General features: G+C 44.7%; 1 long non-coding RNA gene across 2 annotated transcripts in view, besides 2 other annotated features; it reads right to left on the reverse strand.

Annotated features, from left to right (window-relative positions):
* Window positions 1-26,481, reverse strand: part of LINC00299 (long intergenic non-protein coding RNA 299) — a 320,649-nt gene that overhangs the window by 231,399 nt on the left and 62,769 nt on the right. Inside the window, exon 9 of one of the 2 annotated variants that reach the window (NR_152741.1) lies at window positions 4,396-4,472. The exons of the other annotated variant lie outside the window; for it this stretch is intronic. This is a non-coding gene — a long non-coding RNA (long intergenic non-protein coding RNA 299). The remainder of the gene's footprint in view (window positions 1-4,395; window positions 4,473-26,481) is intronic. 2 annotated transcript variants of the gene reach the window in all.
* Window positions 14,602-15,473: an enhancer, noted in NCBI's record as "NANOG-H3K27ac-H3K4me1 hESC enhancer chr2:8393901-8394772 (GRCh37/hg19 assembly coordinates)". NCBI's record gives its function as "activates a minimal SCP1, AML or CMV promoter by ChIP-STARR-seq in naive H9 embryonic stem cells {active_cell/tissue: H9 hESC(naive)}" and the evidence as "EXISTENCE:reporter gene assay evidence [ECO:0000049][PMID:30033119]".
* Window positions 24,648-25,234: an enhancer, noted in NCBI's record as "OCT4-NANOG hESC enhancer chr2:8403947-8404533 (GRCh37/hg19 assembly coordinates)". NCBI's record gives its function as "activates a minimal SCP1, AML or CMV promoter by ChIP-STARR-seq in primed H9 embryonic stem cells {active_cell/tissue: H9 hESC(primed)}" and the evidence as "EXISTENCE:reporter gene assay evidence [ECO:0000049][PMID:30033119]".

Raw genomic sequence — 26,481 nt, forward strand, 5'->3', positions numbered from 1 at the left:
GACAAATTGTTCCTTTCTCACTGAACTCAGCTAGAAGGCTGGAAGGGACATTTGGAAAGATGGTCATTCATGGGACTTATTTTTTAAAACATGAAAAAGAAGAGAATTTTAAAGCAACATCCACAGAGTCGAAGTTTAGCTTCACCAACAATTATTTCCTCTTCAGTGAGAGTTAGTGGCCAGTTACAAAGTTCAATGTTTGGGTTTGGGTTTGAGGGATATTTTTTCCCCCACTACTGAGACAAAGCCGTAATCCATGAAATATAGCAGATATCTCATGGACCTAGTTCTGCATGCTTGCAAACATTTGAAATTGCACTTGCGGTACATAAAAGATTTATAATGATCTTACCCACAAATATAAATTCTGTCCCACACAGGATAGAAAGACCTAGAAGCAGAAGCAGTGAACAGCTGAATGTGAGCAGAGTCATAAATTCAGAACACTTACAGCTTTGTAACAACCCTATCATAAATGTGGCTGATTTCAATTTAATTTATAGGACTTTGCAGCCGGGTCCAAGAATGTCTTTTGAAAACTAAGAAGTTAGAAGCAATAACATATAGTTTCTATAGTTTCAGTTTCCAAGAAAATGTCCATGGTCTTCAGGTGGCTCTGATGAGACAACATCCAGGCCATCCTTGATTATGCAAAATGACTTGGGGGAAATCCCTAAATTCATTGCAGCAAAATGCAGGCGTCAAAAGAAGGCTCAGAACACATACTAATGTCAAACCGCGGTGCACATAACAAAGGCTTGGCAGTGGGTTTCCAGGGAAACCATCCGGTAGAGTAGGAAAACCCCAATCTTTTGTAAGACAGATCAATCTGCATTCAAAACCCAGTCTCTCCTCCTTAGCTGAGTAATGATCACATGAGGAGCTGAAGTCCTCTGAAGCTCAGTTTCTCAATTTGGAATAAGGTATTTACTGAGCATTCTTTGCTAAGCACTATGCTAAATGTTTGCTTATATCATCCATCTCAGCTATACTACAACTTCATGGTGCTTTTTAAATCCCACTTTACACATGAGACAACTGAGGCACCCAGAGATGAGCCCTTTTCCTAGATCTGACCTTCTTTTTTTTTTCTGAGACAGAGTCTCGCTCTGTCACCCAGGCAGGAGTGCAATGACGCCATCTCGGCTCACTCCGACCTCCGCTTCCCAGGTTCAAGTGATCCTCCTGCCTCAGCCTCCCAAGTAACTGGGACTACAGGCATAGCCCAGCTATTTTTTTGTATTTTTAGTAGAGATGTGGTTTCACCATGTTAACCAGGATGGTCTCGATTGCCTGACCTCATGATCCACCTGCCTCGGGCTCCCAAAGTGCTGGGATTATAGGCATGAGCCACCGTGCCTGGCCCTTACCTTCTATACATGGAGAAAAGATTTGTACGTAGGCAGTCTGACTTCAAAGTTCTTGTCATGACCATTATACTAAAGTCCTTCACTCTAAAATGCAAGTACCTGGCCGGATGCAGTGGCTCACCCCTGTAATCCCAGCAATTTGGAAGGCCAACGTGGTAGATTACCTGAAGTTAGGAGTTCGAGACTAGCCTGGCCAACATGGCAAAACCCCATCTGTAATGAAAAATACAAAAAAATCAGCGAGACATGGTGGCACACACCTGTAGTCCCAGCTACTCCGGAGGCTGAGGCAGGAGAATCACTTGAACTCATGAGGTGGAGGTTGCAGTGAGCTGAGATCACACCACTGCACTCCAGCCTGGGCAACAGAGTGAGTCTTCCTCTCAAAACTCAATACGTAAATAAATAAAATGCTAATACCTGAATCCACCTCAGAAAATGATGGATTGATGTAAAGTACACAGGACAGTGCTTCTTAGCTCCCTTTTCTGAGATGACATAAAGTCTCATCCACTATTATTTTCAATAATTCACTGCATTGGCCCAAATAAAGTGATGAAATCTGCTAAACTCCTGGCCACTTATCTGCCTAAAATGTCTTCATCCCCTCAACCCTCATCCTAACCTGGGAATCATAGTGTAATGAACCTTCATCCCAGGCAACCTCTGCATAGCCCTCTCAGTTCTAGGGAGATTTTAGGGTCAAATTTTTCAGGTTTTATAAGAGTGTATCTCATCTTCAAAGGAGAGTCTCTGTGTGTCTCCTCTGGGAACTCCCAAATATACTCAATTATTACTTTTTCTAAGAGCAACAGACAGCAGTCAAGCACCCACTACATATCAGGCCTGGTGCCACCTGCCAGAGACACCAGAGCAAGCCCAACCCACACATTACACCCATCGAGCTTAGAGTTCAGATTGGAGACAGCCAGGAAGCAGCAAGGTCAGAACTGTGCAAAGGTCCAGAACGTTCAGGGAAGCAGGGAGGAGCCACCCAGCAGTGGGGAGCCTGGTGGGCAGATAGAGCTTCCTGAAAGATGTGGCCTCAGAGCTGACACAAAGGCTGGAAGGATAACCAGAAGAAATTCCAGGAGAAGCCACCTAGGTAGATGTGGCCAGGATGCACGGCTGCCATCAGAACAGGAGAGGCCCAGCTACAGGGAAACAAATGTGGAGGGCGGGAATGAGAAGAGAGAGGCGCGAAATGGACCAAATATCTCACCAAGATGATGCATCGCTCATTCGCTTAATAGACAAACTCTGGGAAGTGCCAGCACATTCTGTAACCTTACTACAAGCCCTGAAAGTAGAAAAGACGCACGCAGCACAAAATGACTGTATGGCTCTTTGCTCTGGATACAACCCAGTGAAAGTTAAATATAAATGCTTGAGAATAAATCAGAAGTCATATACTTATAAAAACTTATGGTATCAAAATTGCTTTGCAGCAAAACGTAAGACGTTCTAATGGTCTTTGCTTCCCTTTCCCCTGAACCCAGCCCCTGTGAAGTAAACACCCTGTATCCCCAAAACTACTTTGCAAACAATATCTTGCATAGGTCTGATTAACATGCATGATGTATAACGTATTTCTGTATGTGCAAAGCAAAATTCCATTGAGTAAAATGTACTCAGTATCTTAAAGCAAAGAATAATAACTTCTTTCCTCTGAGTCTAGGAGTTAATTTTCATGCTGGACAATTTTTTAATAATGTTGGACACACCATGGGATTTTTGGAAGTTCATTTCGTTTTGAGACTTCTTAAGTTATAATTTTTCTTCTGGCTCAGATGGATCTTTTATCTGTTCTACCCTTAATATTCCTGCTAATCTTAGTATAGAAAAGCTTCATAATTTGAAAAAGAGAAGTTTAACAAGACATGAGGCTGATTGTTTGCACAATCAGAACATCTAATTGAGCTATAGTATTCTAAACCATGCTTGCGTGCAGGGAGATAATTTTTCCTTCATTTCCTATTTTATCAGAAAATTAACCTTCATTTAAAACACTGTGGTCTGAAACACTTTTATAGCTACATTCTCTCCGCTGTTCAAAAGAATTTGAATTTTAAATTTGCCATCCTGGTCTTTAAAAATGAAACAAACTGCGGACGCTTTGGGAACCAGGTGTTTATGATCAAGGAGACATCAGAATGTGACCCGGGTCCAAAGCACTGCTCCTGCCAACCAAGGGGACTATGCTACCAGATCTGTTTTTAGTTTTTCAACCTTTGGTGAAATAATGAGGCTCTGAATTTGCATAGCAATCTTTTTGTCTGAGAACCTAACAGCCCCGCAGATCTTTCATTTCATTGCACAAACATTGGAAGCCTTTATTAAGTACCTCTCTGCATGGAGAACTCAGCTTGGCCCCAGACAAGCCAGACTTGAATCCTGCAATGATGACACAGAGTTGGCCATGGTACAAATGAAGTTAGGTAATTCATTTGACACACAGTTCACTAAGCACTCATGACACGTATGTAACCAGAGTGGGCCCAAGTTCATCTGGGGTCACCTTGTCTTATAATATTCTGGAAAAAATACCCAAACTGTCATTTCAGAGATTGCTGATATTTCTACCAGGAATTTAGTCTCCATCAAAATATTTCTAAAGATTTTGAGACAGAGTGAAGGGTAGGAGGGGGCACCGTCTCACATCTAGCCCTCTGTTATAGGTTGAATTGTGTGTGCCCTCAAAATGGATCTGTTCAAGTCCTAACCCCGGGCGTCTGTGAACATGACCTCATTTGGAAATAGGGTCTTTGCAGATGTAATCAGGTTAAAATGAGGTCATTAGGATGGGCCCTCTGTCCTTATAAGAAGAGGGAAATGTGGACATAGATGCACAGCAGATGCAATGTAACAACAGAGGCAGAGACTGGAGCAACACAGCCGCAAGACGGGAGTGCAAAGGATGGCCGGCAACACCAGAAGCTGGAACAGACAACAGAGAATTCTCCTTCACACATGAGAACACGGACAGCCCCAGAGATTAGCCTTTCGCCCAGCTCTTGCCACTTACCCATGGTGATGAGATCTGCATGCAGGCATTCTGACTCCACGGTTCTTGTCTTGACCATCGTACTAAAGTCCTTCACCCTAAAATGAAAGTAACTGGGTCCACTTCAGAAAGGTTTCAGGTTTCAGAGAGAGTGAACCCCTGCCAACACCTTGATTTTAGACTCCTGGCTTCCAGAATTCTGAAATAATGAATTTCTGTGGTGTCAAGCCACCCAGTTTGTGGAGTTTTGTCATGGCAGCTTCAAGAAACAAACACACCATCTCAGTTATGTCTATCTTCCCTGCCACTCGGCTCCACAGGTAAGCAGGGATCCAGGCCTTTAACTCTCAGACTTCCCTCATCCAGTACTGTCACGTGTAACAGACCTTTAGTGAAGGGCTGGGTATAAAAGAGGAGAATTGCTGTACAGACCAGAAATAAAACCCCATGTCTTTGCTGCTGAAGTTTAGCTTCCAGAGGGGACCCTGGCTGGCCCCGCCAGGGCTGTGGTCCCAAACTGTTGGCAGCGGCCAGCAAGCTTTTTCCCCTAGAGTTCTTATCCTACCTCCCACCACAATTCTCAACTGAAATCCCCATTTCTAGGATTTGCCCGTAAGAAAATGCAAATTACTTTATAGCAGAACAACCTGTCTACTCCAAGAAGGTTCCTGTTTTCCTTCTATGCAAAACACTTACATCCTCTTGGTCTCAACCACTCCAAACTAGACTCCCCCAGAACCATGATCTGATCAAATAACCAAAAGGCTCCTTCACAGATTGTCCAATAATGTGTCCTCACCATGGGGGCTCTGGGAAATGGTTTGCAAAGAACCCCTCACATCATAATCACTTTGAGTGCCTACTAAAATGCAGATCCCACTGGATTACAGATTTTTTAGCGGGAGTTTAGGAACCTTCGTTTTAAAAGGGTCCCAGTGACCAAGAGCCACAGTGTTAAAGCCAAGAGCACAAACTTCAGCCAGCCTTTAAAATAGCCATTCTTTCCCCCCTCGATAACAATGCCAGGGGTAGAGACTGACAGGCTCGCTGCAATGTCCCCTTGGACCAAGTTTGATTTTACTCCTGTTACAAATACAGTATGGAAGCTCCAGACACCCTCCCACCAACCTCTCCCTTCCCAGCACAGGGATGGCTCCTCCCTGGCCAGGCCTTAGTCTCACAGGTGGCACCCCCTTTGCTATTGAACTTGAACCCCGATGCCACTTAGCAGTGGAGACTTTGGGCACTCTAGTCAGAAAGAGCCACTTCCTCCTCTGGTCTCCTCCCACTCTCAGGCCCCAGCCAGATCCTCCAGCAGTGGCCACCTCCCTCCTCACTCCAACTTCCTCTTTCCTAGTATCTCCTGAGACTTGGTAAGACCACCAACATATATTAATAGTTCCTAAATTATTTTAATGCAATAATTCAGGCCAGGTTATTTGGTCTTACTGGAATTGAACATAAAATAATTCTCACCCTGAGGTCGATGCACCTGCCCTGTATTGAAGGCACAGATGAAGCTGAGGCCCACAGTAGATGTCTACTGTTATCACCGGCTTGCTCTCTTTCCTTTCTCTTTCCCTCCTGTTTATCCACTCTAGGGAAGAAGAAAGCACTTTCCTTCAATAAATATGCATTAAACTCCTACTTTGCTCCAGGCAATGGATATAAATAACTCAGGGACTTTACCACTGAAGAAGGCATAAAAAGTAAACAAAAGCTATGAAATAAATATGGACCATGTTCTATTGGAGTTCAGAGGAGGGAACCTCTAATGCTGCATGACCTAGTCAAAAAAGCCAGCACAGAGATGCTGGGACCTAGAGCCATGAGGTCACCCTAGAGGAGGCATGAGAAAGGATGAATCCTGTAAGGTCCTTTTGCTCACAAGCTACAGAAATGGACAACGTGATTGAAATACTTAAACAGGCCATGTGGCCCAAGCATTAAAGCACCAGCCTTGTTTGCTTGAGGGAGCTACATAACCTTTCTGAGCCTTAGTTTTCTCGTCCGTGATATCAAAGTAGTAAGAGTTTTTTAAACAAATGAAAGACGATACATAAAGTGCTTAGGAACGCACATAATAAGCTCTCAATAACTACCTATTACGGCTAAGGAAAAAAGTGGACTTTATAAAGATAGATCTCAGAACAGAAGGAAGACTGAAAACTGAGCCCCATGGAGTGGCCAGAGCCAGGGAAGCTTCACAAACCATGTCTGTGGCCCTCAGGTGGCTGTGCATCAGGCCTCTGTCAGGTAGGCTCCAGCCAACTCTTGCAATTCCCAGGAGAGAGATTCTGGCTGCCCGGCTTGGGGCAGAAGGCAGGTCCCAGGGACATGGCACAGGAGACTCAGTCATCCCACTTTTGAAGAAGATTCCAGACAAGGAAACTGCCAGATCATGGTCTGGGGGGCAACCCAAGAGGCTATGGTATAGAGCGAGCCTGGAGTTTGTGTAGAGAGTGGCAGGTTGGAAGACATGTGTGCCTTTTCCCATGGGCAGTGAGGAGCTACTGAAGAAAGGGAAGGCAGGAGCACTGAGTGCTCGCCCAGGGACATGGGTGCTTCAGAAGGAACCATCAGGCATTGAAGACCATGGAGCAAGCTCACCTGATATGGTTAGGCTTTGTGTCCCCACTCAAATCTCATCTTGAATTATAGTTCCCATAATCTCCACATGTCACGGGAGGGAACCAGTGGGAGGTAATTGAATCATGGTGACGGTTACCTCCATGCTGTTCTCATGATAGTGAGTTCTCACAATATATGATGGTTTGGTAAGGGGCTTTCCCCACCCTTCACTCTGCACTTCTCCTTCCTGTCACTATGTGAAGAAGTACATGTTTGCTTCCCCTTCTGCCATGATTGTAAGCTTCCTGAGGCCTCCCCAGCCATGCTGAACTGTGAGTTTCACAAACTCACTTTCCTTTATAAATTACATAGTCTTGGGTATGTCTTTATTAGTAGCGTGAGAACTGACTAATACACCACCTTACCCCCGTCCCAAGCCCTAGTGCCCCAGCAGGAGGTCCCAGCCCACTGCACTCTGGTCTCCCTCAGGAGGTGTCTGTGAAGGGCCCTTCTATGGCCCACGGATGACTGGATACTCGAATGTACATGTATCCAGGTTCAGATCCATCTCCTTGCATGATAAAGGTCGTTTCTAAATGGCTCTCTTTTCTAATGTGCACACTAAACTACATGGAGATCCTGGAATTTAAGATACAATTTTCAATCTACTTGGCCCCCAAATTCAGTAGAATTTGGATCTTTTCAAGTGTTTTAGAAACAATCTGTGCTAATGGCACAATGTTCTTGCTAATGCCCTTTAAGGGCCAAATTTTCAAAAATGGCAAATAAATTTGTTTGTCATTTCCATGTGTAGTTTTATGGGTGGGTATAAATACTGCAGTCGAAATAACAAGCTGATTTTTTCCTTGCAAACATTTACACTGAGGATTGAATGAGGTGTAAATTGGAAAGGTTATCCCTGTCTAAGGAAAAGGGCAGGGCCATTCTCAGCTAGGGACACACCAGGCAGCCAGGGTCAGAAAGGGGCTATGACAGAACAGGCAGACAGAACACGGTGTTCTCCCTATGCCAGTCTTCAAGAGAAACTGGAATGGCCTATCTACACAGCAGGCCACAAGAATACCAGCTGTGGCTTGTCACTTGCCTCAAGTAACTCCTCTTCTCCCCTCTCCCACTTCGCCTCAGGAATTACTGCAGATCACCAACCCTGGACATCACTGGAGCCTACATCTCCAGGCTCTCTGATCCCATAATACCAATGCCTATATTGGCTCCAGGACCACTCTATTTGGACAACAGATTGGACATTGGACTTTAAATTTCAGTGGACTTCAAGTTTCACCCATATCACCCCAGAACTCAGATTTGTTCCCTGCCTTAACCTCTGGGTCCTTAGGAGTCCAGATGAGATCTCCCCTGCCAGCCTGAGTCCCTCAGACTCCCACCAGTGGGCTGGTCCATACTATATACAGCCCCCAGCCCACCCTGCCCTGGGCAAATGCAGGAATCCAGGCAACCACATTCATTGCATTCTGACTCTTCCTCCACTCCAACAGCTAACATGACAGACTCCAAAGCTCAGGGCAAAACTAGAGACTAGGGTATGTGTCTTCATGCTCCTCTGTTTCCAAATATATTCAATGGCACTGTAGCAAGGACATCACCCTGGGCTATGCCAGGATAACACGGCTGGAAGCTCACAGCTGAATGGCCACACTTATACTCTGCTAGTCTTTGTGTGTTGAGACCATCACCTCTAGCTGCACCCAGTTAAAAGTGAGAAGCAAGAGAAAAGTCCAAGTTGTGGAATCAAGTTGTGTTGCACTGGAGCCGGGAGAATTCAGGCTCTTGGCATATAAAGAAGGAGTTAATACAACACACCCAGGCACCGGGCTTCTGCCTCTCCCCTCCTGGAGAAGAGCAGGAGCAGGCCAGGGGCTGGAAGAGACAGCTGGCCCCCTCTCCTGCTGTGCAGGCCAGGCTAGGCAAGCTGAGCAGGCATCGGGAGGGAGGAGTTGCTGAGGACACTTGGGTGACCATCAGCAGCCAGGCCCTGCTGCCCACAGGAATGTTCCCAGAGGAAGCCACGGGCTTCTAGAAGTCTCAGGTCTTCCCTCCCAACACGAGGCCCTCCTTCCCTGTAGCCTCACCCTGTCCTCAAACACTGTGCATTTGGCAACATGTGAGTTGGGTCTTCATCCTCAAAACCCACCCTCGAAACACAACATGCATGTCTATACCTCCACCCTGGGGTCAACACTTGGCCAGCCAGGAGAGGCCTTGACCACACTCCTGGACCCTGTCATCTTTCCTTCCTCCATAGGACAGCACAGAAACTCAATAAATGCCTGTGGAATAAAGCACACATTTTATTTTTGAATCCAGTCTCTGTTCCCCACAGAGCACGTAAGCGTGAAGGCAGGTCTGTCTGCTTCCTTCACGCCCATATCCCAGCACTTACTCAGAGCCTATCAACCAGCCGGAGCTCGAGAAATAGATGATGACAAAGTAAATAAATTCATCTATGGAGATACTAAAGCTTTCCTAGGACTGGCAAAAAGGAAAATCTTCAACACAGCTAATACCCGATTTGCAGATCAACTTCGTGTTATTGTCACTCATAAATGCCCTAGCTGATTTGCATAGCAAAAATAAGATTTCACTGAATGCCACACTCAAATCACTTTGCTCAGAATTACTCAGCAGAGGGCTGGATTTGTAAATGTGTTTAGTTTGGAAGTTCCTGACTTCACAAAAGTTACTTTCAGTTACTAGGAATTTTCCAGTACATTTTCTTTGGCTTTATAAAAAAAGATCTGATCCAATCATGATTTTTCTCTCTAGAATTTCTACATTTAGCTTCAGGATTTATCAATGACATTTTTTCAAAGCAAAAAAAATCTCTTCAGCCAACAGTATATCTGTTTCAGAAGGGAAAGTTGGATTTTTATTTCCCCCTTTTTGAAGCCGTTGGTGCATCTGGGAGAGCTCGCAGTCTTACCAAAAGCTTCTCTGTGGTGGCTTTGGGGAGAACAGCAAATTTGGAATCTCACTTGCCAGTGGTATAGGCATCAGAGTTCTTAGTGGACTTTTGCCAAAGGCCATTAATAAAATACAGTCCAAATGTCCTAATTAGCATGCCCTCGAGTGTGGCCACGTGTAGAACTTGGACTGGCTCTTGGCCACGAGCTGCTGTCGCAAAGCTCAGATCCCTGCTTCAAGCAGGCTATGTCACAGAGAATCCACTGCAGAGAGCCTTCTGGAGATCGGGGCAATGTGCGGAAGGGCACGTCCCTGCCAGCCACCCGTACTCTGGCCAGGACCCGGAGCTGGGCACTGGCCGCACCCGGCTGAGAGGTGATGTCAGATGTTCCTGTCGGGATCTGGCTTCTGGCTAGCAGCAACTCCCGTGTAATGGAAGAGTGGCTTCCCTGCTAAGCTTCAACCCTGAAGCCAATTAACGACTCAAATCCTTCAGGAAGCACTGCTTGGGTTTTACCAGAGACATAAAGGTCTTATCCCATTAATTGGTGCTTAAATAAAAAGAATAAATACTGCAGAATCTAACCTAGAGTTGGTCCCTACCTTTCGCTACCCTGAATGTACTATGACCCTAGAAAACACTTATTTTATAAGTAGTTTTTTAAAATAAAAATAAATACCCTGAAAACTACTCCAGGATAGATTTCTGCATAATGGAATTGTAAAGAAAAGAATAATGATTACTCCCTGTTTTTAGAAAACTAGATTTTTGTAGTTGAACTTCCTTTGCTACTGAAATAGTGGACAGAGTGTCCAAAGATAAATTTACCCAAAGATAAAATTTTGCATCCTTACATGAGATGACCCTGGGACACCCAGCAGTGCTAGGTATTTACATAAGCTGGACCAGATGGATAACTCAATGTACTCCAAACAATACGCCTCTGAGAGCTGGTTTCCTTAACATCGGTTCAGATGGGAATAGCCCTGTATGCACAAAGGGTGGTAGGATTTTTTTCACAGTCCCTCTGTCCTGATATCCAAAATCTGATGTTATTTTCTAACATTTTAGGTTTTGTTCAACCTAGAACCATTATTGATCCCTGCATCCTTGGCACCCGGCACAGAGACTGTTGCTTAGTGGATGAACAACAAATTTTTGCCAAGTGAGTGGTGATCACCATCCCTGAGCTCCCTTAGATATTCTTAGATATTTGTTCAGTAAAATCTGCTTTGAGGCCACTGATATAGTTTGGCTGTGTCCCCAGCCAAATCTCATCTTGAATTGTATCTCCCATTATTCCCGTTGTTGTAGGAGGGACCTGGTGGGAGATAATTGAATCATGGTGGTGGTTCTCCCATACTGTTCTTGTGGTTGTGAATAAGTCTCAACCTGACGGTTTTATAAGGAGAAACCCCTTTTGCTTGGCTCTCATTCCTTTTGCCTGCTGCCATCCATGTAAGATGTGACTTGCTCTTCCTTGCCTTTTGCCATGATTGTGAGGCTTCTCAGCCATATGGAACTGAAAATCCAATTAAACCTCTTTCTTTTGTAAATTGCCCAGTCTCTGGTATGTCTTTATCAGCAGTGTGAGAACAGACTAATACAGCCATGGTGAGGGTCATTGCCAAAGGCAACTTTCCTGAGAGCCTATCATAAGCTGACACAGCTACAGTTGTGGTGTCTCTTGAGTAGCCTGCCCTTTACAAGGACATAGTCTGTCCCTAAAAAAATTATCTGGTGGTGTTCACTTCTGAACAATACCCCAAGAACATATTGCTTGGTGCCCACTCTCCTATTTCGTCCCTCCAACCTCTGCTCCACCCTCCCCAGCCCACAATCAGCTGGAGGTGTCTCCTGCCAGAGGCTCAGCACTCCCTTCCTGAACAGGCACCACTCTCCAAGGCTGACAGCCTCCCCTCAGCCAGGGTGGGTTCTGCCCCATGCAGCTGAGAGTCCAGCAGGGAAGACGAAAGTCACCAAGTAGAGCAAACAAAGTTCAATGCAAGAGGACCAGTAGCCGCTGCTCCCCAAGTCTCCCCAGATACTCTGGACTGTTCCTCAAGGATCCCACACTTGAGCTCTAAGTCCTCGGGTTCTCATCTGGGTCTCCCCAACACAAACACCCAAGGCTCGTGCTTTTTGTTCTAAAATCCTGTGCCACGCACACTCCCAATGACGAGTGCTTCAATAGTGTTGAGGAAATGTTGTGGGGTATTTTCCCATCAGTAGCATTTTTAATAAAAATATTCTAAAAGCTAACTGAAGCCGGGATTGGCCCATGGGCTTGGGACAATCCCCCACCCATTCTGACAAGGGAGCCCAGTAATTCTATGTGCAGAGTCCTCCTCCCAGGAAAGCCCCAAGTACTCGATTCTTTATCAGGAGGTGTCACAAAATGTCACTTAGAGCTAGAGGAACTTGCTCTGTCTCCAAAACTATGTTCATTACTTCCTCTGAACCACCCACCCTGGGGAGCTCAGGTCGGTTTCCCTGTTTCTTTGCAGGCTGTCTGGGCAAGCTTGGTTCCTCTTATCAGCACGGTGACCTTGCCCGCCCATCAGAGAAAACATGGATCACAGTTGGGTTTCCATAATTTTTACCCTATCATAATATAAACGAACTCAGGTCTAGGACACTTGATGCCTGAAAGCCAAAAACTCAAGAGAGGAGCTTTGGTGAAAGGAAAGTTAGCTTCATTCCAGAAGCTGGCAATGCAGGGGAGGCCGTGAACTAGCATTCAAAGACCACCTCTCTGAGATATGCCTCTGGATCAGGGATTTTTAAGGGAAAATTAAGGGAAACATCATCAAAACATTATCGTGAAACGTATGCAGTCTCAGGTGGGAAGTTAATCATTGCTTTCTTGGTCAATGTTTTGAGATCTTCCGCAGGGGCCACCAGCCTATTCTTATCAGGTGCGTCAGCCGATGCCCAGAGCCATTGGTCTGGTATTTTCTTTTATCTCTTTTGAAGGCCCTGTTTTCCCGAGGCTGTTTTCAGTGAATAATCTACACACCCAAACAAAGCAATAATTATATTCAAGCAAGCAGGTTTTTCTCTAACATGGACTAAGTCCCATTGCAAGAGGGCTGCCTGCCTCTAGAGCTGAAGCTCCTATAAAAAGCAGCATGGCGTGGTAGTGACAGCACCAGCTTCAGCTGCAGCAAATCTGGTTTCCAGTTCTGCTGCAACAAGTAGCGCCTATGACTTTTGCCTGGTGACTTCACCCTTCCAAGCCCTATCAGAAAGTACACTGAAAATTATTACAACAAATGAGGATTAAGGACAGTACCATGTGAGTCTAGAATATAATTAGCACTCAACACATAGGAACCATATCTTGAAGCTGGTGAAGTCTTATTTTCATCTCTGTTTTCATAATTTAAAAGGCTTTGTTGGTTGTTGAAATAATTTGGTATGATAACTCATGGGCGTGTTTGTAGTGAGAAAAACATGAGTTTTTGGCATCAAACGGAACACTCCTGGGTTTGTATTAATCTGGCAAGAGCTAGGCTGTGTTTAACGGGTGCTGCAGATACTGGTGCCTGAAGCTTTTTCCCTGGTGTCCTTATTCGTGTCTTCCCCCTTGGCTTTGGGCCTTCCCTCTGTGTTGCTCCCCAAAGAGAGTCTGTGTCTTACAGATCCTTCCTTTTAACCCACTTTATGATGCTGGATGCCACTGGAGTGGCAGTCTGGGCACATTCTACCATCTCAGGAAGCCTCAGCCTTTGGGCAGGACTGTGTCTGGGGCTGGTAGTGTTTCTTTCCCTCCCCCAGGGTATAAATGTTTTTCCTTCCCCTAGGCCTCTCCTCAGCTGTGATGGTCCCAGTCTATTTTTTCAGAGCCATGCCCCCTTGTTGATGAGGTTTGTTAGTGTGGGGTTTTGTTAATTTTTTAATTAATTTATTTTTTGAACTGACGCATTGTAATTGTACTGTTCGTATTTTGTTCTTAGGCAAATCCAGGAAACCTGGAAAGAGCTTCAATCTGTGGCAGTTTCCCCACTTGGCCTGACCAGAGGTGACACATCTCACACAGCCCTAGCCCCACTCTCTTGCGAGGCAGCACACTGCAGTGGTTCCCCCAGGCCAAGGAATTCTCAACTCTGCCTGTTCAGCAGCCTCCCCAGAGTGCTGGAGGATGAATACCAGGGCCCAGCCCCGACCCTAGTCTCTAAAGCCATCCATCTTTGGTGGAGTCCTGACACCAGTATTTTTTAAAATCTCCCCAGGAGCTTCTTCAGTGAAGCTTGGTTTTAGAATCTTTGGTCTAATGCCTTGTTCCTCATGGTGTGGTCAGCAGACCCACAGCACTGGCAGCAGCCGGGGGCTGTCAGTCACACCGAGTGTCTGGCCCACGCCAACCCTGCCAAGTCCAAACCTGCATTGTAACCTGATGCCTAGGGGAATAGATCCACCGAGAGGTGTGAAGAGCCCAAGCTGCTCAGCGCCATTGTAAGGGCTGCCTAACGAAGCATCATAAGCCTGTGGCTTACACAAGAGAAATGTGTCATCATGCAGCCTTGAAGGCCAGCTGCCGGGGAGCCAGGTGTTAGCAGGCCAGTTCCTTCTGAGGGCTGGGAGGGAGAAGGCTTCCAGGCCTGTCTCCCTGGCTGGCAGGTGGTCCTCTTCTCCCTGCGTCTCTTCAACTCGTCTTCCCTCTATGCATCCGTCTCTGCATCCAAATTTCCACTTTTAATAAAGATATGGGTCATGCTGGATCAAAGCTCGCCCTAAAGGACTCATTTTAACTTGATCGCCCTATAAACATCCTATCTCCAAACACAGTCACATTCTAAGCTCCTGGAGGTGAGGACTCCTACATATAAATTCAGGAGGACACCATTCAGCCTGTGACACACATTCTAAGCCTGATTGGAACCTGATTTTACCTCCACCCCCCACCCCCAGGCCTGGGCATGGTATCAGGGCACAGAGCTTCCTGCCACCCCTGGAATCACAGTGGTTTCTCACTACCCTTTCTTTGCCCACATGGTTTCTTCCCTAGCCTATGAGGACTAAGCTCTGATTTTTTTTATTTTGCCCAAATTCCTATTTAAGGAGTCTGGGGAGTCATGCCCTACAAACCATACATTCTCATCAGATGAGTTTTATTTGACCCTATATATTGTGACTTACTTTCCAACGTGACTCTGGTATAACATTACAAGACAAGGAAGAAAATCAAAATATTTTACCCCAAAACATGTTTATTTGCTGTATCTTGAAATGGCCCTGCAAAGCTGTCCTTTGTGGGGGAAAATCTGCATCTGCAAAGAATCTCTGCTAACATAGCTAGATCTTTATCTTCCAGGCCCTCCCACTCCTCAAGAGATTAACTAAGAGTCTAGCACCTTTTATAGATCTGAATAGGAAACATTTGTCATCTGTTGTCTCTAGGGCAGCCACTACAAGACTTCAAAGGAACTTTTGTCTCCACAATCTTTTATCTTAACCTTTCTATCAATCCCAGGTCTTTAGACAAACTCAACCAATTGTCAACCAGAAAATGTTTAAATTTACCAATAGCCTGGAAGCCCCCACTTTGAGTTATCCCACCTTTCTGGACCAAACCAATGTATTTCTTAAATGTATTTGATTGATGTCTCATGCCTCCCTCAAATGTATAAAACCAAACTGTACCCGACCACCTTGGACACTTGTTCTCAGGGCCTCCTGAGGGCTGTGGCATGGGCCATGGTCATTCATATTTGGCTGAGAATAAATCTCTTCAAATATTTTACAGAGTTTGACTCTTTTCATGGATACCTGGCCTCCTGAGGAGTGCACTTCCTCCTTTGAGAAAACTTAGATCAGGGTCCCTGCTCTCTGACAGCTTTCCTCACTTCCAGCCCCTCACTTTCTCCTGGCTCTGGAATCTCTGCAGGAATCTTCTCTGAGCTTGGCTTCCTGGAGCTGTGCCTCCCACTAGGTATCTAGCAGGCCAAGGGCAGGGCAGGGTCTCAGCTCACTTTACGTCCCTCTGGCCTGGCACCTGGTGGACGTGCCTTCATAAGCAAGGTTGGTTGTAAAAATGAATGGAACACCATAGGAATCCAAACTTAAAATGAACACCAGGAATGGCCCTAATTTTTACACCAGTTGCTGAAGAGCAGGCCGAGAGAGAGCTGTCCAGCGTAGAGACACGGAGGCTTCTTCAAGGGCTTTCACTCTGATACTCAGCCCCTTGTCTTGGGAATTACTGTAAGAGGCTGGGACCTGATGGGGCCCCCACCTTCCCCCTAGCTTCTCTTCACGTACCTGCATCTCACCTGCCCTGTTCATTTTCCCAAGAAATCCTGAGGGCAGTGCTGAGGCTGTCATTCAACTCCCCACTTAAGTTTAAGAAATGGCTCCAAAGCACTCGTGAAACTCCTTGATATTACGGGGGCTGCAGAAATGATGACCGTGTCCTGAGAAAGGCAGGATCCTTGTTCACACTCCTCCAGCCCCACTGGGGCCCAGTCCCAGCCCAAGCCCATGTTCATCTGGTGTGGCTGCTTCTTCCAGAGACCAGGCATTTTTGCAGGTTTGTCCCATTGAAGTTCACAGGCACAGGGGCAGTGGTTTCCCTTGGCCTCTATTGTGAGTCATCCTGAATGCTTTGTTTTAATGCAAAAGCCTAGATGTTTTCACATTCCAACTCTAATCCCAAACAAGTTATTTGTTATTGTATTTGATTTCTTATCTTCTCCCCTTCACATAACTGACCAACTGACTGACAAATATGGAGTTTGTTGATTTCCTGTAACAGATGCATTCTTGTTTGTTTGTTTGTTTGTTTGAGACAGAGTCTTGCTCTGTCACCAGGCTGAAATGCAGTGGCACGATCTTGGCTCACTGAAACCTCCGCCTCTCAGGTTCAAGCAATTCTCCTGCCTCAGCCTCCTGAGCAGCTGGGATTACAGGCGCCTGCCACCACGCCCCAGTAGTTTTTGTATTTTTAGTAGAGACGGGGTTTTACCATGCTAGGCAGGCTGGTCTCGAACTCCTGACCTTAGGTGATCCACCTGCCTCGACCTCCCAAAGTGCTGGGATTACAGGCGTGAGCCACCATGTCCAGTCAACAGATGTATTCTTAGAAGTTATTGTAACTGCAAAATTAGTTCAAAGGGAAAAACTGAAGTGAGTGTGGAATGAGTTAGGTGGCTGGGTCCATGTCAAGGCAAATAAACACAGAGTCACAGCCAAGGCAATTATAATTATAATCTGGCCATAATCCTATCAGCAGAGGGTACACGATCTACTGCAAATTTGCTCTGAGGTGTGCGGTTGTCCTCCACTCTCCCTTTCTTCCTCAAAGGTAATACATAGCCCAGTGCAAATACAGACTTCTTCTTTCCCCTGAGAGTTGGTTATTCATTTCTCACAATATTCTGGGGGAAAAAATTAGCATGCTAGGTGAATTCATGCATGATCCATTCTTAAAAAGCACTAGGATATAAAAATTACGTTCTCTTGACCTCGGTCTTTTTTTTAGGATAGGGCTCTCTTTCTAAATCCATCTTCCTATGCCTTCTCTCCCTCTTTCTCTTCCTTTTTCCAGCTGATATCACATAATGGACTATGCACTTTAGATCTGAAAATAGGTGAAAAGCTTGAGCCCAAAAAAGCTGGTGGCATTTATGAATACGTATCAAAGTCCATTCTCTAACACCATCAAATAGAACATGCATTTGGGCCAGGAGCGGTGGCTTATGCCTATAATCCCAGCACTTTGGGAGGCCGAGGCGGGCAGATCACCTGAGGTCGTGAGTTTGAGACCAGCCTGCCCAACGTGGAGAAACCCCATCTCTACTAAAAGCACAAAATTAGCCAGACGTGGTGGCACATGCCTATAATCCCAGCTACTCGGGATGCTGAACCAGGAGAATCACTTGAATCCAGGAGGTGGAGGTCGCAGTGAGCTGAGATGCTGAGATCGCACCATTGCACTTCAGCCTGGGCAACAAGAGTGAAACAACGTCAAAAAAAAAAAAAAAAAAAAAAAAAACAGAAGGAAAGAGAAACAGGCAGTAGACTCTGAACCCATTTAAAAATAGATTTGCTCATTGCGCTATTATAAACTTAGAGAATTTTCTCCTGGATCTACCTGTCATAAAGAGGGCTGTCGAAGGGGTCATTGTAAAGACAAATATTACTTTTTTCTTCCATGTCCAAGGAAATATATCTTTTGCTCAGGGGAAAAAGAAAGAAACAATGCTGCCTCTTTTGTATGGGGAAAAGGCAGCTCCTTATTTTTATGTTAAAGAGTTGTCAAGACACTTATATTTGTCATAGCATTAAAAGTTATTTTTTATTCTACTTAATTGTTCATTGAGATTTCAAAACCAAATCTGCCTTCTTGCCAAATATCTTTGTAATATGTACATTTCACACTGGCTTATTATAATGGATTTTCTCATGGGATCTAGCATTCTGGCATCTGCTTTGTTATGATATTATAACAATAATTAACATTTAGCACTTACTGTATAGCCAGCCTTTGATCCATATTTTTAACAAAATGTAATAACAATTCTCTTTCACACAGCATCTTTCATCCCAGAGCCTCAAAGTGGCTGGCAGCATCGTATTATAGCCTGAGATAGTTGTATTCATTCCTGAAACCCTCCCAACGCCCCCATGGGGTCTATCCACAGCAGGCGTCTTCCTTAGGGGAAAAAAAGGGAAGAAAGGTCAAGTGAATTGCCAGGCAGCAAGACAACAGCAGCAGGGCCAGGAATAGAATCCAGCCCCGTTGCCTTCTTGGTCAGGGACTCCAAAGCTACAATAGCATCTATTTTTAAAATAAAAGAGATGGAGAGTGAGAAGCAAGATGCATCTGGTGTATTCTGACAGGGATTTGGATATGCCCTAAAAGTCATGCTATATCTTCTGAAATGAACCCCTGGGAACAAAAGTCTGATGCGATGGTGAGATGCCTTTTCAGCAAACAGCACCTAACTCCTCTCTGTAAGTACTTGAGTACATACTTGTGCCACAGGCTGGGTCCCTTTCCTCTAGAGAAGAGTTAGAAGGAGGTACACAAAGACTCCAAGAACTCTAACTCTGAATCTCTCTAATCAGGGCAATCAACAGACACCGTGAAGCATATCTCATACTCAGTACTCTGTTGAATAGGTGATCAATGTGAATCAATTTCACCCAAAGCTGCTGTTGGAATGGTTATCTTACATCTTCTGCTTTTCTCCTTTGGATCAAACCTCTTAACTCTTAGACATCCTCACAAGAAAAAGAAAGAATATCACCAGGTTAACATTTGGATCATTTGGAAGAATAATTGTCATGATTATGAACCAAAAGAAGCCCATTGTCACCTTAAATTCACAAGAATAAACATGGCCATTATAGGAAAATTAATCATCTATATATAGCTAATTAATATCTAATAGATATGAGCTTCACTCCAATTTACAGTATCTCAGGCAAGTGTAAAGGTGCAGATGTGGGTCAGAGACTGACATGAGAAAAACAGCAACATACTTGGTGCAAAGAAGATGCTCAAAGGATGCCTCTGGGGTGAATCACAGTGAGAGCCACAGCGTGAGGGAGAATGACCGAATGGCTTGCACATGAATGAAAGAACAGCGGTAACCACCATCACTAAGCCACATCAACACAGCGCTTCCCAGTATGGGAGCCATTACTGTCTCCACCTAAAAGTGAAGACACTGAGGTTCACATAGTTTAAGTAGATTTCCCCAAATTATGGAGCCAGTAAGGAATGGAAGCCATCTGACATACATGGATTTATACAGCTTCTGGTAAAAACATCTGTAGCCTCCAAAAAGCAGTTTAGATATGATCAATAATGATTATGGTGATGATGATCAGTTGTAGTAGTAGTAGCAATAGTAGTAGCAGTAGTGGTGGTAATAGTACTACTAGTAGTAGCAGCAGGAGTCGTAATAGTACTAGCAGTTGTAGTAGTAGTAATAGTAGTACTAGTAGTAGTAGCAGTAGCATAGCAGTTAACATGTATTTAGTTTTATGTGCCAGCACTGTTCTAAACTCGCTTTAATCTATCAATTAGTTTCATGACAACCCTATGAGGCCTAATTATTATGCCCATTTAATGTCTGAAGAAACCAAGTCCTAGACGAATGCACCTAGTGAGTACTTTCTTTAACGTATCTTTTTGCATGAAACCATCTGCCAGCCCCCTTTCTTTCCTTTTCTCAACAAGAGAGGGAAAGAGAAGACAATACCACTTTGTCTGATCGGATTCTGGAACAGTGGCAGCACTGAAGAACAAAAGCCTGTGTCCATTCTGGCCAGTTCTTGTTTGTCCTTTCCAAGTGCATGAACCACAAAATATATTATTCTCTGATCCTGCATGATGCCCTGATTTCCATTTCCACTGAAATAAGAACGAACAAAAATGACTGATTCAGTAAAGCACATTCCAGGCCAGTGCATAATGAGAAAATCCAATTCAATTTTAAAATGAATGTAGCCCAGGTCTACAATTTTTACCAACACCATATGCATCTTGCTGGGCCTTCCTCTTAGTAGATTCTCACTCCACATGTAAATAAAAATAATAGCACCCATCAGAGCAGATTTCTGAAAGGGAGACTTCCTCATAGCAAAACACACAGCAGAAAAATGTGTTTGGCTGGCCTCCAGTGCCCCAGAGTGGAAGTGCCAACTAGAAGCATCAGTCTAAGCCCCTTGGTGCAGTTAATATCCCAGCAAAGCCCACAGCCATTCCAAACTGAACATGAGAGACCACAGCATCAAGAAACCCAAGTAGAATTCCATTTCTTGTAACTTGGGGCAGTAAATGGAGCGAAGTTATAAATACTTTAATTTACAAAGAACTATCAAATGGGGCCTCGGCACATTGGTGCCAACTTGGGTTGCAGAACTGAATCTTGTTTCATCTTAAAAAGAGTGTTTTGCCATTTGAATAAATTCTGAAATGGTTCCAATGAGACTGATGTAAGTCATTATAACTGGTCCCCACGGGATGGCGTTCTCATCGTCCTCTCCATCATCTCATTCCCTGCAATAGTGTTTTTGGAAAATGTCTTCATCCCATTGTCTTTCTAGAAAAGGAACTCTGATAATGAACAGTGCTTGATATGAAAAGCTTTACCATCAAAGCAATGGAGAAAATCATGGACTGTCTAAACAAGAAACAAATGCTCTTCACATGCCAATGTGGAAAGGCCCAGTCCTAGAGCACATTGATGATTAATTCCATCAGAAAGAAATGAAGCTTGCCGTAAAGTCATATGCTGGGATGTAGGTGGTGTCCTAGAACGGGGAGTCCTAGGCAAATGAAGCAGCTGAGCGTCATGCGTTCGCAGCTAAGATAACCACATGCCAGCTTCAGAAAGGTGCTAAGATTCTGTCTCCAAAACACACACCCGCTCTCGGCTTTCTACGTATTCAGCCAGCAGCACCTTCCCTTCCCTGGAGCCTTCCAGAGCTGCCTCTTACTGGGTTGTAGGAGTGAAGTGATCATATGCAGAGAGTACCCGAAATACTCACTGTGTTTCTCCGGCTGCTGAAAAATTCTAGGGAAAAATGCTCCGTCTGAAACATGTGTTGTTTGTGATTCCACTCTGCACCCTTCCACATTCAACTTCCTATGGGCACTAGGTAAAAACGGAGGTGGCAAATGCTGGTGAGCAGGAAGAAAACAAAAAAAGGAAGGAACGCTGCTCAGTGAGTCAGAAAGACAATAACCCACTTGGAAATCAACAATTCTCCTCCTGTCCCTGCTCGTATTCTAAATTAAAAAAAAAAAAATTCAGATTTTGATCTCAAGTTTGCAACATTATTTGTTCAGGTAAAATGTTGTTTAATCAAACTCGTTAAGAGCTAAGTGCTAGAATAAGGGTAAAATTTGTTCCATGGCGTGGGAAGCTGCACTTGGTTTAAAATGTGCTAATCTGTAAGAAACTGGAATTTAGTATCTTTTATTATAGCTTCCTAATCCCCCTCTAATGCAGCTCACTGGCTCTGCCTACCACTCTCTGCATGGAAGGAACACTCAGCAGCATGTAGACCTGCACCTGCTCTTAGAGAAACTCTTTTAGCAACCCAAGTTCACAAACTGCATCCATATTTGAGTAGCCACGATCTGAAAATTAGGAGGCAGAGGGGTAGATGGTTATTTTGATTAAAATTAAGCTGGGTCACGTCCGTGACTTGAGATTTGGAGAAAGATAAGGAATCGGGGCTTCCACTCTACCTGCCGGGCAGGTGGCAGGGTCAAAGAAGAAGGTGGTGAGATGGAATGAGAAAGGCCACGCCTCAACTTGCTCTTCAGCAAGGACCTATCAATATGAAAATTAATGTAATGTAATGGGCTGTTTCTTTTAATGCAGGGGAGAGAGAACCATGAGAGATTATTTTGCAGAATGATAAGGCTTCCCTATCTAGTTCATAACCCTGGAGACATCCAGAAAAGTATGGATTTTGATTTGAACAATAATGAACTGGTAAATGATACAGCTTTCAGCCATATAATGACTGGATTAATTTGCTGGCTCTGGAGTTAAACCCAAACAGAGGCCCCGAAGAGATAGGACTGTTATCTAAGCAACAATTAATATGCTGAAAATGCTATTTAGAAATAGCCTCATAGTTCACTCTGCTATCATGGCCTAACTTTTATTGCTTGGCCATCTTTATAAATTGTCATAAAAATTTAATAAATGTGGTATAATCTAAAGAAGAATAGGATTGTCATTTACAAGTAAGTGCCCGTTTCAATTGCAGTTTTAGATCTCAAACTTGAAAATCACATTTAAAAGGAGAAACTGTTCCTGTGTTCCAACCTACATTATTGCTCCAGTTTAGGAGAAATGCCTTTGCTGTGATAAAAAGATTGAATGTTTACCTCTGCTTGGCATTGTGTCAGCAGGGTAGACCTTTATCTGTTAATTTGCCAGTGAGATGTTTTTTGTTTTTTTTTCCAGTGGTGCTTTTTCATTCCCACAGTGAGAAAAACCTCTTTCAAGTTTAAGTTGAGTGTTGAAAGGCAGCAAAGGACACAATCGAACTTGGTGCATACTAAGAATGGATCACTCCATTTGCCAAGCTTAATACAGCCCGTGTAGGCAGCGCATTTAGAGTTGTTTGGATTTTATGTAACTACTAGGAAAAAGACAACATGACCAGCACAAGGGGCTGCCTTATCAGCAGCTGAACTGCAGCCATATGGGGCGATTATTCTATACTGGATTGGGGGCATTTCCAGCACATTCTAAACGTATTGTGCTCAGGACTCATCTCTCCAAAGGCATTTCAGAGCACAGGATGCAGGATGCAACTGAGGGAGTGTTTGAAGACTGTGCATTATTGGCCGGGCACGGTGGCTCACACCTGTAATCCCAGCACTTTGGGAGGCTGAGGCGGGCGGATCACTTGAGGTCAGGAGTTTGAGACCAGCCTGGCCAACATGGTGAAACCCCATCTCTAAGAAAAATACAAAAATTAGCCAGGTGTGGTGGTGCATGCCTGTAATCGCAGCTACTCGGGATGCTGAAGCAAGAGAATCACTTGACCCAGGAGGCAGAGGTTGCAGTGAGCCAAGATTGCACCACTGCACTTCAGCCTGGGTGACAGAGTGAGACTCCATCTCAAAAAAAACAAAACAAAACAAAACAAAACAAAAAAATTATGCATTATCTGTGCTACCGCTTAGCTCTGGGTGGCCCACTCTGCTGCTTATGTCTGGGGTACAGGTGCTCTCCTGATCCTGAATCTGGTAACTCAGCCTGCCTGTGCACCGAGAAAAGACCCCAGTGCCGAGCGTGGCTCCAACATGCTAGGTAAAAGGAAAGCAAAGACCAAATCGTGCCCACAGGTTGGCAGGCAGTGCTGGCAGGGAAGCCAGCAGCTTCTTATCTCTCCAGTCCTTCCACCATGTCTCATCCCTGAACCTTATGATGCATCCGGTAGACTAAGGAGGAAAAGAGGAGCATGGCTCTCTTTGAATAGGTTTCTGCTCTAACCAGGGGGCACACTCTCCCACCCCAAACCTACCCTCAATTCCTGAGCCCATTCAACAGAGTCGTCACGGCAAACAGCCTGGACAAGATTGACTGGGAAACAGATCCAGCTGCCATCTGCTAATTGTGTGACCTTAGGCTAGATGTTTTTCATTTCTTAATTCTCCATTTTCAAATCTGAAAATAGGGATAGTAGAAATATCGGCTGCATACGGTCATTGTGAAGTGTAAATGATTTTCCTCTGTAAATGCTCCAAGGGCCGCTAAGCAGCCAGAACTGATGCTGTTTCTGATAATGCGTGTTGGTGGGTCTCTCCTGTCATTTTTCATACATTTGTGGCCTTGGCATAACAGTTTCATTTTCACCTGTATGGGTCCATCTCATAAGCTGTTGGGAAACCGGGCCACATGGTGGGCAATTTTAACATGAAGAAACAGAAACAGGGTGATAACATCTGCCTCTTGAGCAAATGATAAATTATGTTTCCTTTCTGTACCTCCATTTAAAAAAAAGGATGTTAAAGAAAGATCCCAATAATAACAGTACCAAAGAGCTGTTAACAGGATCAAAATGTGATAACAACAAAAATAATTCCATACATTCTAAAGCACTTTGCTAATGCCTCTTACTATAACTATTGGGCATGCAAACATAATTTTAGTTGTTGGAATCCATGATTCCTCACTAGAATTCCAGTTTTCCAGAGTAAAAGTCTCAACAAACCCAAATAGATTTTCCTCCTCTTCCTCCACCTCTTCCTCCTCCTCTATAATCTGCCCCATCCCTGCAAGGGAATACTCCCACAGAGGCACCCTGTCTTACTATGATTATCTTCAACCCCAACCCTTTAGCTACAGAAAAGGACCTGAAGGAATCCCACTCTCAAAGACTTGTCGGAGCCACCTCAAGTTTCCCTTCAAAGGATACCCTCAAAGTCCCTTTAACGAGTGTTTAAATGGATAAAACAGGAAAGCCTCTTCAAAGGAACAAATCCTTTTGTGACACGCAAAGTTGTTCTTCCTGAAAAGGCTAAAAGCACTTTCCCATCAATGATCTCCTGACCCCACACCAATCCTCGGAAGCAGGTATTATCAGCTTGGTTTTGTTGCCAGTGAAACTGAAGACAAGGGGTTAAATGGCCCATCAGCACTCCACAAAGGCCTTTTGTCATCTGGGAGAAGCTAATCAGGCAAATTCATCTAGGGGCAAACAAAACCCACTAAAGAAGGGGAGTGTAGACCCTAGAGGTTGTTGGGTATCTCTCTCTCCCCAAAGGCAAAAATAATAAATCAAATCTGCTTAAAGAACTACAGTATAAAGGGAATGTGGAGGCCTTGGGTATTCCCAAGCCAAATGAGTAACAGAGTCTACAAGAAAAAAAAAATGAGAGTAACACTAGCCAAGTCTGGATTTTCAAACTCCCTGTTTTAGGAGCCCCACCTGTGGCAGAAAATACCCTCTCTTCCTCAATACCCTCTAGCCTCTCTTGACTCTAGTCCATCCAGCACACCACTGACAGAAGTCTTCTGTAGTAAAGAAGCCTTCTTTATCATCCTAGATTGTAGCAATCTGCCCCATGCCCTGTTACCTGTGGACTCACCCAAGGGCTTGAGTAAATGTAAGACCCTCCATCAGTTCATATCCTGCTCCAAGATATTTAATCGATGGAGCCAGCCCAGCAATGCCAAGCTTCTTCCATCACTTCTCTCAAATTCTCTCCATCTTTCAGCACCTGTGCAGACTCTGATCTCCTCCAAAAAGGCTTTTCTTGCCTCTTCCCTCCCAAACTCCACAGCCCCGATTCTGAACTTGGTCCTTCAACAGCTGAGTATTTATTAAGTTCTCACTGTTTGCCAGGCATAGTTGATGGGAGGAACATGTAGGGACCCTTTTATTTCTGCCTTTCCTAAAGATTGTGTGGTCCTTTATACCGATCCCATCTCTTTATTTGTGTAGCCTAGGCCTGCCCGTGCACAATAGCACTTCTTTTCTCTGAAAGTCCAGCGTGCTGGATGCCTAGATGGAGAAGTGGGGGTAAAAGAACCAAGGCAGAAATGGAGTGGGAGAGTCTCAGTTCAACATTGCCCCAGCAGGAGACCTACCCACAGAGACCACGAAACATCCCTGCCAGGAGTGCCTGGACTTTGCCACCTGCAGCTTTGGAGGCTGGCTGGTGGCTGTGGGGACTACCAAAAGCATGTGCAAACCACCCAAGTTTGACCACTTCATAAGAACTCAGCCATTAGCAGCTGGGCTTAGTATTCCATCACCTCACCACCCCCAACACCCAACCCCAAGCTCTCTCCTTTCTCTGCAGGAAGGATGAGATCTAGGGAACTGATATCCTTCAGGAAGGATCTTCAATACTGGCATTTGGAATCTATACTTACATTTCTGCATTTCCCTATATGTGCTTTAGCACACATTTTCTCAGTTAGTTTGCACAACAATGGCCTGCAGGAGATTTTACTCTCCTTAATGGTATTATACAAGCAGAGGTAGTAAGAAACAAAGTGGGCTGGAAGGCTCTCTGAACACAAGTGCCTCCCTGTGGGCCTGAACCCAGGGCTGAAATCCCACCGTGATGATCAACTCTGGAGGAGGTGGGAGGACAC

This window comes from Homo sapiens, chromosome 2 (genome assembly GCF_000001405.40).
Source record: "Homo sapiens chromosome 2, GRCh38.p14 Primary Assembly".
In the NCBI taxonomy this organism is placed as follows: Eukaryota; Metazoa; Chordata; class Mammalia; order Primates; family Hominidae; genus Homo; species Homo sapiens.